The sequence below is a fragment of the Homo sapiens genome, chromosome X (assembly GCF_000001405.40).
Source record: "Homo sapiens chromosome X, GRCh38.p14 Primary Assembly".
NCBI lineage: Eukaryota > Metazoa > Chordata > Mammalia > Primates > Hominidae > Homo > Homo sapiens.
The window spans coordinates 124,110,797-124,126,105 of NC_000023.11; the positions used below are offsets into that span (position 1 = coordinate 124,110,797).

Consider the following 15,309-nt stretch of genomic DNA (forward strand, 5'->3'; position numbering starts at 1 on the left):
ACACTGCTTAACCCAAATCTGTATTTGAACATTACCATCAACCTAGAAAGTTTATTTATTCTCCTTAACCAATCTGTTCATCTATCCTCTAGAAACAATAGCTATTATGTTTCCATCATAGACTAAATTTGGCTCTTCTAGAACTTCATATAAGTGGAATCATAACAGTATTTTTGTGCAAGGTTTCTTTCAGCATGTTTTTGAGATGTATCCATGTTTCATATATCAACAATTCATTCTTTTTAATGTGTTTCATTGTAAAGATATACTACAATTTGTTATGGGTTGTTTCTGCTTTTTTGGCTATTATGAATAAAGCTGCTACCTGAGTTGCATTTTAAAAGCCAAGAGGTGGAATAGGAGAAAGGAGGACTGGGTGACGAGGGCTGAAAATTTCAGGCAAAGGAGACAACATAAATGACCATCTTAGATGTGAGAACTATTTAGTAATTGCTTAAGGGTGGATGGGGCAAGACTGGAAAGGATAGTTGACTATCCAATACCTCATCAGCTTTAAAAATGAAAAAAGACATTCACAAGTGATACCTTTGGTAACTGAAGTGTTTTCGTTTTATGTGTGATGTGCTCAGAATTGGCGAAGATCCAAAATAGTAGCAGGGTGCCTTTAAATGACTTGTGAGAAATTGATTTAATAATATGGGTGTTTTCATCACATCAGGCCTTATTCTACCATTGAGGAAAATGAAAGGCCAGCTACTATAAGTTTGTTTTTCATTTTTTATTTTTACTTGTTTTAATTGACTATATATATATGTGTGTGTGTGTACATATTGACAAGAACTATTCATGTGTATGTGTTTTAAAATATGTATACATTGTGGAATGGCTAAATCAAGCTAACTAACATGCATTACCTCACATTTTTTGTGGAGAGGGGTCTTTTGCTCTTACTGTATTGTGTATTCTCCCTTCAAATTTATTAATATTTGCCATATATATACTTAGGTGCTCCAATGTTGGATACATCTATATTTACAATTGTTATATCCTCATGATGAATCGTCCCCTTTATCATTATATAATGACCTTCTTTGTGTCTTTTTACAGATTTTACTCAAATTCTGTTTTATCTAAAGTATAGCTACCCCTGCTCTCTTCAGGTTTTCACTTGTGTAAAATAGATTTTTCCATCCCTTCACTATCTGTGTGTGTCCTTAAAGGTGAAGTGAGTTTCTTTTAGGCAGTATATAGTTAGGTTTTACTTTTTAAAAATCCATTCAACCAGTTTTTTGATTGGAGAATTTATTCCATTTATACTCATAGTAATTATTGATAGGTAAGGACTTATTACTGCTATTTTGTTCATTGTTTTCTGGTTGTTTCATAGATGCTTTGCTCCTTTCTTCCTCTCTTGCTACCTTCCTTAGTCATTAGGTGATTTTCTTCAGTGATATTTTTATTCCTTACTTTATATCTTTTGTGTATCTTCTATAGCTTTTTGCTTTGTGGTTACTATGAGGTTTACATAAAACATTTTACAATTACAACAGGCTATGTTAAGCTGATAACAAGTTAATTTTGATTGCATTAAAAAACTATACTTTTACTCCCCCCATTTTATGTTTTTGAAGGCAGAATTTACATCTTTTTATATTGTACATTCTTTAACACATTATTGTAGCTATTATTACTATTATTGTTTTTTTTTTTTTTTTGAGGCAGTGTTTCACTCTTGTTGCCCAGGCTGGAGTGCAATGGTGCCATCTCAGCTCACCGCAACCTCTGCCTCCCAGATTCAAGCGATTCTCCTGCCTCAGCCTCCCCAGTAGCTGGGATTACAGGCACGCACCACCATGCCTGGCAAATTTTGTATTTTTAGTAGAGGTGGGGTTTCTCTATGTTGGCCAGGTGGTCTCGAACTCCCAACCTTAGGTAATCTGCCCATTTCGGCCTCCCAAAGTGCTGGGATTACAGGCGTGAGCCACTGTGCCCGGCCCTATTATTTTTAATAATTTTATCTTCTAACCGTCATAGTAAAGATATAATTGATTTACACACTATCATTACAGTATTAGAGTATTCTGAATTTGTATATTTACTTTTACCAGTGAGTTTTATACTTTTATATGTTTTTGTGTTACTAATTAGCATTATCTTTTATCTTGAAGAACTCCCGTTAGCATTCCTTGTTAGACAAGTCTGGTGGTAATGAACTCGCTCAGCTTTTGTTTGTCTGGAAAAGTCTTATCTCTCCTTCATTTCTCAGGGACAGCTTTGCCAGGAACATGTTCGTGGTTAGCAGGTTTTTCCTTTAGCACTTTGAATATAATCATCTCACTTTCTCCTGGCCTGTAAGGTTTCTGCTAAGAAATTCACTGCTGACTTTACTGGACCTCCCTTATATGTGATATGCATTTTTTTCTCTTGCTGCTTTCATTATCTGCGCTTTGTCTTATTTTTGACAGTGTGATTATAATATGTCTTGGTGTAGTCTTATTTGGATTGAATTTGATTTCAGATCTTTGACCTTCCTTTACATGGTATTTATATGTTTTCTCAGGTTTAGAAAGCTTTTTGCAATTATTTTCGTAAGTAAGCTTTCTGTTCTGTTGTCTCTGTCTTCTACTTGAACACCTATAATTTATATAATGCTCTTTTGATCCTGTACCATAAATCCTGTAAGCTTTCTTCACTTCTTTTTATTCTTTTTTCTTTTTTCTCTGACTTTATATTTTCAAATAGACTGTCTTCAAGTTCACATATTTGTCTGCTTCATTAATTCTGCCACTCGCTATTTCATTTTATTCACTATATTTTTCAGTTCCAGAATTTTTTTCTTAAATTTCAATTCCTGTTAAATTTCTTGTTTATTCTTTTCCTAATTTTGTTGAGTTGTTTCTTTGTATTTCTTGAAGTTCAATCAACTTCCTTAAAACAATTATTTTAAAGTTTTTGGCTGGCAGTTCATAAATCTCCATTTCTTTAGGTTCACTTCCTGGTGCTTTCCTTTGTTCCTTTGATGGTGTCATGTTCCCCTGATTGTTCTTTATCCTTACGGCTGTGCGTTGGTTTCTGTGCAATTTGAAGAAGTTGGAACTTATTTCAGCCTTTGTAGACTGGCTTTGTCTTGGAAAGCCCTTCCACATTCAGCCTGTCCAGAGATTCTTAGCAGGTAGTCTGATGTGGTCTATGAGTGGGCTTGCTGCTGGTGTCCTTAGGCAGGCTGGCCAGGTAGCTGGGTAAGGAAGTGAGTGGGCCCAGCACCTGGGTCCACAGGGTGGGGCCTTGAGCCTCAGTTTTCAGGGGCTGGCCAGGCATTAGAATGGGTCTGGAATCTAAGTCCATAGGAGCAGTGCTATAGCCTGAGTCCATGGGGGCTGGCTCAGTGCTAGGCTCTATTGGGATGAACCTGGACCCTGGGTCTGCTGGAGGATGGGGCTGCAGTGGCTGGCCTGGCATTGTGCAAGCCTGGAACTTGTGTCCACAGGTGCTGTCCTGGTGCCTGAAGCCAGGATTGTCAACCTGGCGATTGGACCAGGGATTCCAGCCTGATGAGTAGGGCTAAGGGTGGGGGCAGCCTAGTGCTGGGGTGGGCCTGAAGCCTGTGGCTGTGGAGGTGGTCCAGAATCTGAGGCTGCTCGGATGGACCTGTCTATAGGGGCTGGCTTGATGCTAGGGTTGGCCCAGAGACCAAATCCATGGGGCAGGCCTGGAGCCTGGGGCTACAGGGTCTGGCCTAGCACTGGGGCAAGTCTGGAGGCTCAGTTTGGGGATACTGGCCTAGAGTTTGGGGCCATGGGGGCACAGGATTTTACTGGGATGGGCCCAGTGTTGGTTTTACTGGGATGGACAAAGTCTGGTGCTCACTTCCCTCTTCCCCCAAGCGGAGGGTCTCTGTCCACACTGCTGACTGGGATTGAGGAAGGGGTTATGAGGATAATATAAAACTGTCCTTCCTACCATCTTCAATGTAGTTTTTCTTATTTCTGCATTAAACTCAGGTGCTATAAGCTCTCATCTGGTTTCTTTAGCTCTTGAGAAGGTATTTTTGTGTGAGGATAGTTGTTCAAATTGATGTTCCTGTGAGGAGCCAAGCACTGGAAAGTTCTATTGTGCTTTCTTGCTCACATCTGAACTCGTACCTTGATTCTTTTTTACATTAACTTATTTATCCTCTACTATCTTTTGCTGAGTATATGCCTGAGGATTTTACTCTAGTGAACCTGTGACAAGTTAGCTTTTAAACAATTTTATAGTGTTTATAGCAAAATTGTAACTAACATTGAAAAAATAATAGCTAATATGTGTTGTGTTTACTGTATAACAAGCACTATTCTCCAGCAAATTATAGTTGATATTATCCGCATTTTACAGAGAAGGAAACTGATGCACAGGTTAAATCAACTTGCCGAAGGATGCGTAACATGTAAGTGATGAGGTCTAGATTTTAACTCACGGTTTCTGATTCCGCAGGCTATGAATGTAACTTTCTCTCTTCATCCTCCTGCTACTAAATGTATGCACCTACTTGTGTCTGTCTTTATTCGTATAGTTTGTGTTTCATTCTGTTATAGTGGACAAGCTATCCTTGTTTCTAAGATACTGGATCCTATCCTGTATTTTTCTCCTCTCTCCCCTCCCCTCTCTTATTCTTTTTATTGGAGAATGGTATTTAGAAGCCAGAATTTGGCAACTACATATGCTCATTGGTACTGGTTTTAATTGCTTCTACAGGCTTTCTTAGAGGACAAAGCTGAGAAATATATGTATGTATACATATGCATACTTCTATATGTATTTATCTGTCTGTATGTTCTGTGCTACCTCCTTCACTGCCACTACCTCCACAATGTAGTTATGTTATTCATTTGACATATAGTTAGGTTTGTTTATATTGCATCTTAGGGTCCTCCCCCATTTTTGTTGATTTTATTTATTTATGAATATGTGAGGAATTATTAACAAGATTCTAAAAGCCAAAACTATACAGAAATATATACTCAAAGAAGTCTCACTCCCACCCTTGATTCTTTCTATCCCATTCCTAGCCTCCATTCTTTTTTTTTTTTTTTTTATGAGATGGAGTTTCGCTCTTGTTGCCCAGGCTGGAGTGCAATGGCATGATCTCGGCTCACTGCAACCTCTGCCTCCCGGGTTCAAGCGACTCTCTTGCCTCAGCCTCCCAAGTAGCTGGGATTACAGGCATGTGCCACCACGCCTGGCTAATTTTTTTTTTTTTGTATTTTTAGTAGAGACAAGGTTTCACCATGTTGGTCATGTTGGTCTTGAACTCCTGACCTCAGGTGATCCACCCGCCTTGGCCTCCCAAAGTGCTGGGACTACAGGCATGACCCATGGTGCCCGGCCTGCTAGCCTCCATTCTTTCCATCCTATTTCCACTCACCACCTGTAGGTAACCAATCTCTTTACTTCCTGCTTAACATTTTCTGTGTTTCTTCCTGCACAATGAGCAGATATGTGTACATTTTCTTATTTTCCCTTTATTACTCTTTTGCACTCATTTTATTTTATTGTAGAGATGGGGTCTTGCTATGTTGCCCAGGCTGGTCTGAAACTCTTGGCCTCAAAGGACCTTTCTGCCTCAGCCACCCAAAGTGCTGAGATTACAGGCAGGAGCCACCACGCCTGGCCTGCATTCTACTTTTCTTAAAACTTAACATGTCCTAGAAATCATTTCATATTATTCATAGATTCTTATTCTGTTTTTGCAGTTCATACTACTTCATTGTGTGGGTACACTATAGTTTAACCACTCTTCTATGTATGGGCATTTAGGTTGTTTTCATTGTTTTGTATCTACAAAGGAAATACTGCACTGAATAACTGTGTGTATAGGTATTTTTGTATTGTTGAAGATATAACTTCGGGGCAAATTCCAATGTTCTTCAAATGGCTATGTGTGTGGATTTCTGTTAGATACTGCCAAATTCTCCCCCCTAAAAGGATTGGCTAATTTTTCTATTTTTAGTAGAGACAGGGTTTCACTATGTTGGCCAGTCTGGTCTCAAACTCTTGACCTTGTGATCTGCCCACCTCAGCCTCCCAAAGTGCTAGGATTACAGGCGTGAGCCACCATGCCTGGCTTTTTTTTTTTTTCTATGTTTTGTTTTGATTTTGAGACAGCATCTCACTCTGTCACCCAGCCTGGAGTGCAGTGGCAGAATCACAGCTTACTGCATCCTCAACCTCCGGAGCTTAAGTGATCCTCCTACCTTGGCCTCCCAAGGTCCTGGGATTACAGGCGTGAGCCACCCTTGCCCAGCTTCTCCTCAATTTTTAAGAGTTCTTTAGATATTAGAAATATTTGCCCTTTGTGATACATGTTGCAAATATTTTCCTTGAGTTTGTCATTGTCTTTGACTTTGCTTATGCTATTTTTCTGCCATGCAAAAGATTTTAAAAACCTTTATGTGGTCAAATGTGTTAACTTTTTATTTCATCAGGACTTTGAGTCATAGTTAGAAACCCAGGTTATACAGGAATTCACCCAAATTTTCTTGTAGGACTTATATGGTTATATCATTTAATTTCTTTATTCAGATTTCTAATCCATTTGAAATTGATTCTTGTGTAAGGTGTGAGGTATGAATCTAATTTTATCTTTTTCCAAATGGCTATCCAGCCCTGTTTATTAAAATGGTCATCTTTGCCCCAGTGGTTTGAGCTGTCACCCTTATCAGACAGTAAATTTCCCTATGTACTTAGCATACATCTCTGGACTTTCTTTTCTGTTTCACTTGTCAGCCTGTCTATTCATGCAGGGAGTACCACACTGTTTTGTTTGTAAGGCTTTTTAGTCGGCTTTAACATTCCATTTATTATTTCCTTTTTCAGTGTTTTGCAAGCTATTGTTGCATGCTTATTATATGGAAAGTGTCAACTTGTCTAGCTCCATTAAAAACCTTGTTAGTATTTTATTAGGATTGTGTTAAATTTAAAAATTAACTTGGCCAGAAATTGTGACTCATGCCTACAATCCCAGCACTTTGGGAGGCTGAGGTGGGAAGATCACTTGGGCCCAGAAATTCGAGACTAGACTGGGTAACATAAGGAGACCCCGTCTCTACTAGATAGGTAGACAGACAGACACACAGATATGAACAAAAAATTAACTACAGGAGGACTGATATCTCCTCCTCATCAGTCCTTGCAAAGGTGAGTTGTTCTAGTTAAGAACAGGGATATCTTTCCATTTGTTCAAATCTACTTTGTGTCTTTCAGAAGTGTTTTAAACTTTTCCTCAAATAGGTTTTGCACATTTCTTAAGTTTATTTTATCTTCATTATTGCTATTTGAAGGTGGTTTTCCTCTACCATTATCTTCTCTAACTGGTTTTAGTGTACATGAAGGCTATTGATTTCTGTATCTTAATTTTATATATTGCTAGCTTACTGAGTAAAATAGTGTTGGAAAAACTGGATAACGATATGAAAAAAAAATTCAGCTCAACTCCTATCTCACACTATACATAAAGTCAGTTTGAGGCAGATTATAGATCTGTCACCACAGTTTGTGCCCCGAGTTCTTGGCTTTCGTGTAAATGGAAATTAACGCCAGGATGGGGCTGGGTGTGGTGGCTCGACGGTAGTCCCAGCACTTTGGGAGGCCGAGGTGGGCGGATCGCGTGAGGTCAAGAGTTTGAGACCAGCCTGGCCAACATGGTGAAACCCCATCTCTACTAAAAATACAAAAATTAGCCAGGCGTGGTGGCACGTGCCTGAAGTCCCAGCTACTCGGGTGGCTGAGGAGGGAGGATCCCTTGAGCCCAGGAGGCGGAAGTTGCAGTGAGCTGAGATCGCACCACTCCTCTCCAGCCTGGGGGACAGAGGAAGACTCTGTCTCAAAAACAAAAACAAAACCCAGAAATTAACACCAGGCCAAACAAATTTTTCACAGATAAGGTATAATAGGCTTGTGGCTCAAGCAAAGCAAGTGAGCAGCGTACAGGAAAGGGGTCCCAGTGCTAGCTCCCTGAAGGGCTTTAGCTCTTGCCATTTTAAGGAAGCTGAGGTGAAAAAGGGTGATATATAGGCATGTACTACCTGCACAGTTTGATAATATGCTTCTTCATGTATTGTGTGTCTCATTAGCTGTTAAATCTCCACCCCGGGTGTGATTTTTAGCATTATAATGAGATTATTAGGAGGAAGACCTTGATGAAAGGTCAGCGCTGGAGTCTATCTTGTCTAGCTGGGTGCATCTGGTCAGGTTCTTATCAGGAATGCTAGAGTCTCACTTTAATAGCCTTGGGAGAAGTAACTCAAGGAAATAAACGGTTACGTTCTTTTTTTTTTTATGGTTGGGAATTCAGAGGAGGCAGCAGCTATCTGCTACGTGACTTGGGTCAACCCTTTAAGGGAGGCAAGAAGGTAGAGGAAGGCATATGCCTGGGCATGTGAGGACCCTGGGGTTTTGGTTACCATGTCTCTTCCCTGCCAGACTGAGTCTCTTCGCTATGTTGTCCCAAATCTAAATGTAAAAGACAAAATTATAATACTTTTAGAAGAAAACATAGGAGAATATGTTTGTGATTTGACAGTAGGCAAAAAATTTCTTAGGATGTAAATAACTATCAAAGAAAAACCTGATAAAATAGACTTCATCAATGGCCGGGCATGGTGGCTCAGGCCTGTAATCCCAGCACTTTGGGAGGCCGAGGCAGGTGGATCACTTGAGGTCAGGAGTTCAAGAACAGCCTGGCCAACATGGTGAAACCCCATCTCTACCAAAAATACAAAAATATTAGCTGGCCTGGTGGTGCAGGCCTGTAGTCCCGGCTACTCAGGAGGCTGAGGCAGGAGGATCGCTTGAGCCTGGGAAACGGAAGTTGCAATGAGCTGAGATTCTGCCACTGCACTCCAGCCTGGGCGACGGAGCAAGATTCTCTCTCAAAAAACAAGAAAACGAAAACAAAACATCAAAATTTAAAACTTCTGCCAAAGAAATGACACCATTAAGAAAATATATAGGCAAGCCATAGACTGGAAGAAAATATTCACAAAACATTTATCTGAAAAAGGACTGGTATCCAGGATATATAAAGAACTCCTGACAACTCAGTGAAATAAATACCCAATAAAATGGGCAAAAGATTTGAACATAACACTTTACAATAGAAGATAGATGAGTAGGCAGGGTGCGGTGGCTCACGCCTGTAATCCCAGCACTTTGGGAGGTCGAGGTGGGTGGATCACCTGAGGTCAGGAGTTCGAGACCAGCCTGACCAACATGGTGAAACCACATCTCGACTAAAAATGCAAAAATTAGCTGGGCATGGTGGCACATGCCTGTAATCCCAGCTACTCAGGAGGCTGAGGCAGGAGAATCACTTGAACCTGGGAGGTGGAGGCTGCAATGAGTCAAGATCCCGCCACTATACTCCAGCCTGGGCGACAGAGTGAGACGGTGTCTCAAGTTAAAAAAAAAAAAAAAAAACATAGATGAGTAGACAATAAACACTTGAAAAACATGTTCAACAGCATTAGTTATAAAGGAAATGAAAATTCAAAATCACAGACATACTACTACACATCTACCAGAATGACTAAAATTTAAAAAGACAGACAATACAAGATATTGGTGAGGATGTGGAACAAGTGAAATTCACATTTTGTTTTGGAAAAGGGCTGGCCATTTCTTAATAAGCTAAACACTCACATACCCCGTGATCCAGCAATTCCTTTCTTAGGTGTTTACCCAAGATAAATTAAAGTCCACAAAAAGACTTGTGCAAGAATGTTCATAGCAGCTTTATTGATAGTAGTTCCAAATGGGAAATAGCCCAAGTTTTATCAACAGAAAAATGGATAAATGAACCTAAGTATATTTATACAGTGGAATACAACTCAGCAATGAAAAGGAATGAACTACCAATCCACACAACGAGGAGGACAAATATCAACATTATACTAAAAGAATCCAGATATAAAAGTATACATACTGTATAATTTCACTTATATGAAGTTCTAACACAGATGAAACTGTTCTGTGGTGGAAAAAATCCTAACGGTCATTGTATTAGGAGTGTAGAGGCCAGGATTGACATGAGAACATGAGGGAACTTGCTGTGGTGATGGTACTATCCTATAACATAAGTTTTGGCCTATGTGACTCAAACCCTTACACAAAAGATTTGTGCATTTCACATTATATTTTACCTAATAACAAAAACCATAAGTAAAAGTTTAACTTTAGTTGACATGTATACTGAAATATTTTGGTGTGAAATACACTGATGTCTTCAACTTATCTCAAAATGCATCAAAAATAAGATTAGTTTATGGATGAGATGAATAGATATAGGTGTAGATAAAATGTTAGTTGTAAACTCCAGAACTCCAGGTGGTGGGTATATGAATGTTAACCGTAAAATGCTTTCAACTTCTGTGTTTAAAAATTTCCATATCAAAATATTGAAAGCAAAAAAGTGGATGGGAGGAGGAGGGGAGAAAGGAACGAAAAGAAGAAAGGAAAGAAAGAATTACTTACAAGCTAAGAGGATTTGATCTGTGGAAACAGACCTTTCAGGCTAACAATCTGTTCCCGCTACCAAATAAATAGACTCTGAGGTGATCATACACAGACAGTATATGGTGGTTTAGGAAGACTAGTTAATTTACTATTGTTTAAAAGATATTTCTAGGTCCTCGAGCCAGGGGGGAAAATATGTATTCTTCACAGCTGTGCTAAAAAAAAGAAAGAAAAAATATGTATAGTTGTAATTAGAGAGCTTAAACAACAACCGCAACAAGAACAAAAGCCTTAAAAAAAAGGAAGCAAATCCTGCCATTGTGACAAGGATGAACCTAGAGGATATTATGCTAAGTGAAATAAGCCAGGCACAGAAAGACAAATACTGCATGACCTCACTCATGTATGGAATCTAAAACAGTCAAACTCATAGAAACAGAAAGTAGAAAGATGGTTGCTATGGTCTGAGAGGGAGCAGAGAAATGGGATTTTGATCAAAGGGTACAAACTTTTAGTAATAAGATGAATAAGTTCCGGAGATCAAATGTGCAGCATGGTGAGTATAGTTAATAACGTATACTTGAAATTTACTATAAGTCTTAAGTGTTCTCACCGCAAAACATGTAACTATGTGAGGTGATGATATAGGAGTTAAGAAGGAATTACTTAGGCAGATAGCAAGGGCATGGGAGCCCTCGGTAAGGCTTTTCTTTTTCATGAAAAGCAGCCCCAAATCATTTTCTAACAAAGAGCAGCCTGTAAGGTCAAGCCACAGACATAGGCAAACCAGCTAAGAGCTTGCAAGGGTGAATGCCGGCAGGAACTAGTTACTAGACATGTTCAAGAGGGCGGGTCCATCTTCCCTTCTCTTTGTCAGCCACGTGTACAGTAAAGAGCAGACAAGATGGATCAACTGGAAAGCCCATTTGCCATAACTTTAGAGTGAGCTAAATCGCCACTAATGTTTATCCCCATTTTGTTAAAAAATAATACAACAATGTAAAAAGAAGCAAGATGAACACCAAGAATGAAAAATAATTTGTTACAGCATTCATGTTGTCTCTGAGCATATAAAACAAAACCAGTTTTTCAGATTAAGCCTACCACTTATGGGTTGTCATAAAATAGTATCCTGGCAATGGAAGAAAGAACCTGACAGTAAGTAAAACTTCATGTTTCTAGTATTTCTTATGATATCCCTTAGTATAGGCCATTAGTGTAATGCCAAAGTGGAATTCATTAAAGGATAGCCAAAAAGTGGAAATAACCAAAATATCCATCAATGAATGAATGAATGAATAAAATGTATTATATCTATGCAATGGAACATTAGTTAACCACACACAAAAAAATGAAGTACTCATTCACGCTACAACATGGGTGAAACTTGAAAACTATTATGCTTAGTGAAAGAATGCAGTCACTACAGAGACCCAAAAGAGATTATTGTTCTAGGGGATGAGGGTGGTGTTGAAGAAAAAGGGGCCACAATTGCTAATGGGTATGTTTTTGGAGGGGGGTGACGAAAATGTTTCAAAGAATAACTGTGGTGATGATTGCACGACCCTGAAGATGTATTAAAAACCACTGTACATTTAAAATAGTTGAAATCTAAGGTATGTTGGTTATATCCCAATTAAAAAAAGCAATTCTCGGCCAGGTGTGGTGGCTCACGCCTGTAATCCCAGCACTTTGGGAGGCTGAGGCGGGTGGATCACCTGAGGTCAGGAATTCAAGACTAGTCTGGCCAACATGGTGAAACCCTGTCTCTACTAAAAATACAAAAATTAGCCAGCCATGGTGGCTTGCACCTGTAGTTCCAGCTACTCAGGAGGCTGAGGTAGGAGAATCACTTGAATCCGGGAGGTGGAGGTGGCAGTGAGCTGAGATCGCACCACTGCACTCCAGCCTGGGTGACAGAGTGAGACTCTGTTAAAAAAAAAAATGCAATTCTCCATAGACTAGGAGAAAATATCTGCAAAAGGCATTTATGATAAAGGACTGTTATAAAAAATATGTGATATGATTTGGATATTTGTCCCTGCCCAAATCTCATGTTGAATTGTAATCCTCAATGTTGGAGGTGGGGCCTGCTTGGGTCATGTGGGCGGATCCCTCATGGCTTGGTGTTATCTTCATGACAGTGAGTGAATTCTCACGAGATCTGGTGGTTTAAAAGAAGTGCGGTACCTCTCCCACACCCGACTCTCTCTCGCTCCCATTCTCACCATGTGATTTGCCTGCTCCCTTTTTGCCTTCCATAATGACTGGAAGCTTTCGGAGGCCTCCCCAAAAGCATATTCTCCTATGCTTCCTGTATAGCCTGCAGAACTTATGGGCCAATTAAATCTCTTTTCTTACAGATTATTCAGTTTCAGTTATTTCTTTATAGCAATGCAAGAGTGGCCTAATACAGTAAACAAATAACTCTTTTTTTTTTTTTTTTTTCTTGTGACAGAGTCTCACTCTGTTACCCGGGCTGGAGTACAGTGGTGCATTCTCGGCTCACTGCAACCTCCGCTTCCTGGTTTCAAGCAATTTTCCTGCTGGGATTACAAGTGTGCACCACCACGCTCTGCTAATTTTTATATTTTTGGTAGAGAAGGGGTTTCACCATGTTGGCCATGCTGGTCTCAAACTCTTAACCTCAGGTGATCCGCCCACCTTGGGGTCTCCAAGTGCTGAGATTATAGGGATGAACCACCACGCCCGGCCACAAAGAACTCTTAAAACTCAACAATAAGTAAATAGCCCACTTTAAAAACTGGCCAAAGTCTTTAACATACATATTGCTAAAAAAGATATGCAGATGGTAAATAAGCACATGAAAAGATGGTTCATATTATATGTCATCAGGGAAATATAAATCTAAGTTAAAATGACCATTACCCGTTAGAATGGCCAAAATCCAGAACACTGACAACACCAAATGTTGATGAGGATGTGGAGCAATAGGAGCTCTCATTCATTGCTGGTGGGAATGCAAAATGGTACAGCAACTTTGAAAGACAGCGGCTGTTTCTTACAAAACTAAACATACTCTTACCATATGATGCATATGGTACCAATATCAATCATGGTCCTTGGTATTTACTCAAAGGAATTGAGAACTTGCATCCACACATAAACCTGCACATGTATGTTTATTTATAGCACATTTGTTCCCAATTACAAAACTTGAAAGCAATCAAGATGTTCTTCAGAAGGTGAATGGACGAAATGTGGTACATCCAGACAATGGAATGTAAAATTCAATGCTAAAAAGAAATGAGCTATCAGGCCATGAAAATACGTGGAGGAACCTTAAACGCATATTTCTAAGTGAAAGAAGCCAGTCTGAAAAGGCTAAATACTGTATCATTCCAACTATATGACATTCTGGAGAAAGCAAACCTATGGAGACAGTTAAAAAGATTAGTGGTTGCCTAGGGTTGGTGGAGAGGGAAGGATGAATAGGAGAAACACAGAGGATTGTTAGGGCAGTGAAACTATTCTGTATGATACTCTAATGGTGGATACATGTGGATACAGTTGTCCAAACCCATAGAAAGTACAACACTAAGTGTTACCCTAATGTAAACTGTGGACTTTGGGCAATAGTGATGTGTTAGTGTACTAGTGTATGTTCATCAATTGTAACAAACATACCACTCTTGTTGGGGATGTTGATAATGGGAAGGGCTGTGCTTGTGTAGGGGCAGGGAGTGTATTGGAAATCTCTATACCCTCTTTTTTTTTTTTTTTTTTTCTGAGATGGAGTTTCACTATTGTTACCCAGGCTGGAGTGCAATGGCATGATCTCGGCTCACTGCAACCTCTGCCTCCAGAGTTCAAACGATTCTCTGGCCTCAGCCTCCCGAGTAGCTGAGATTACAGGCATGCACCACCATGCCCGGCTAATTTTTGTATTTTTAGCAGAGATGGGGTTTCACCATGTTGGCCAGGCTGGTCTCGAACTCCTGACCTCAGGTGATCCAACTGCCTCGGCCTCCCAAAGTGCTGGGATTACAGGCATGAGCCACCCCCCCCCAGCCTCTTTACCCTCCTGTAGATTTTGCCATGATTCTAAAATTTCTTTAAAAAATATAAAGTCTTTACACCTAAAGTAATTTTGTGTGTGTGTGTGTGTGTATGTGTAGGGGTAGGCAAGTCAATTCAGTCCACAAATACAGTTTTCTTGATGATCTCACTTTTATCCAGGGATACATGTTTGACTAGAGAAATATAGGCTTCTTAGACTTCAGGCGATCCTCTATAAGTATTATATCTCTCAGCTGAGCTTTCCGTTAAGTATTGAGCAACTGTGGGTTTGAGGGTATGTTCTCTGACAAATCCTTAGAGCACAACTATTCTGTGTTTGCCAAAGCACAGAGCCATGTGTCTTAAAAGTCAACCCAAATGAAAGATGAGCCAAACAGGAATCAGTCCTTGAATTGAAAGCCACTGCCCTTCTGTGTGGAGGTAGGCCAAGGGAATATTCACTGTCAGGGCCAATATAACTCTTGGGAAGCAAGTTGTGGTCTGCTTTAGCACAGAGATGAACCAGACCCCTAAACTCTAAACTAGAGATCATCACCATAGTGATTTTAGGCAGCAAAAATTTAAAACAAGAACGAAATCTCGGTCCTGAAAAAGCTCAGGAAAGATCTAGCTTTGAACAGTGAAACTTCCTAATGAGCCAGCCACCAAAGAGAAACTAGTTTAAAAGATATGTCTAAGTAACTGAATGAATCAATGTACTGTACAGGATTGTTATTGCCGAACTTGATAAATGTTGAGGAATGTCTACTCAGAATGGTGATTTTGATTTTTTTTTTTCCAAGATGGGGTCTTGCTCTGTTGCCAAGGCTGCAGTTC

General features: G+C 39.7%; 1 annotated feature.

Moving 5' to 3' along the window:
- Positions 2,110-2,310: a silencer, noted in NCBI's record as "peak7422 fragment used in MPRA reporter construct". NCBI's record gives its function as "represses an SCP1 promoter by STARR-seq MPRAs in K562 erythroleukemia cells {active_cell/tissue: K562}" and the evidence as "EXISTENCE:reporter gene assay evidence [ECO:0000049][PMID:32103011]".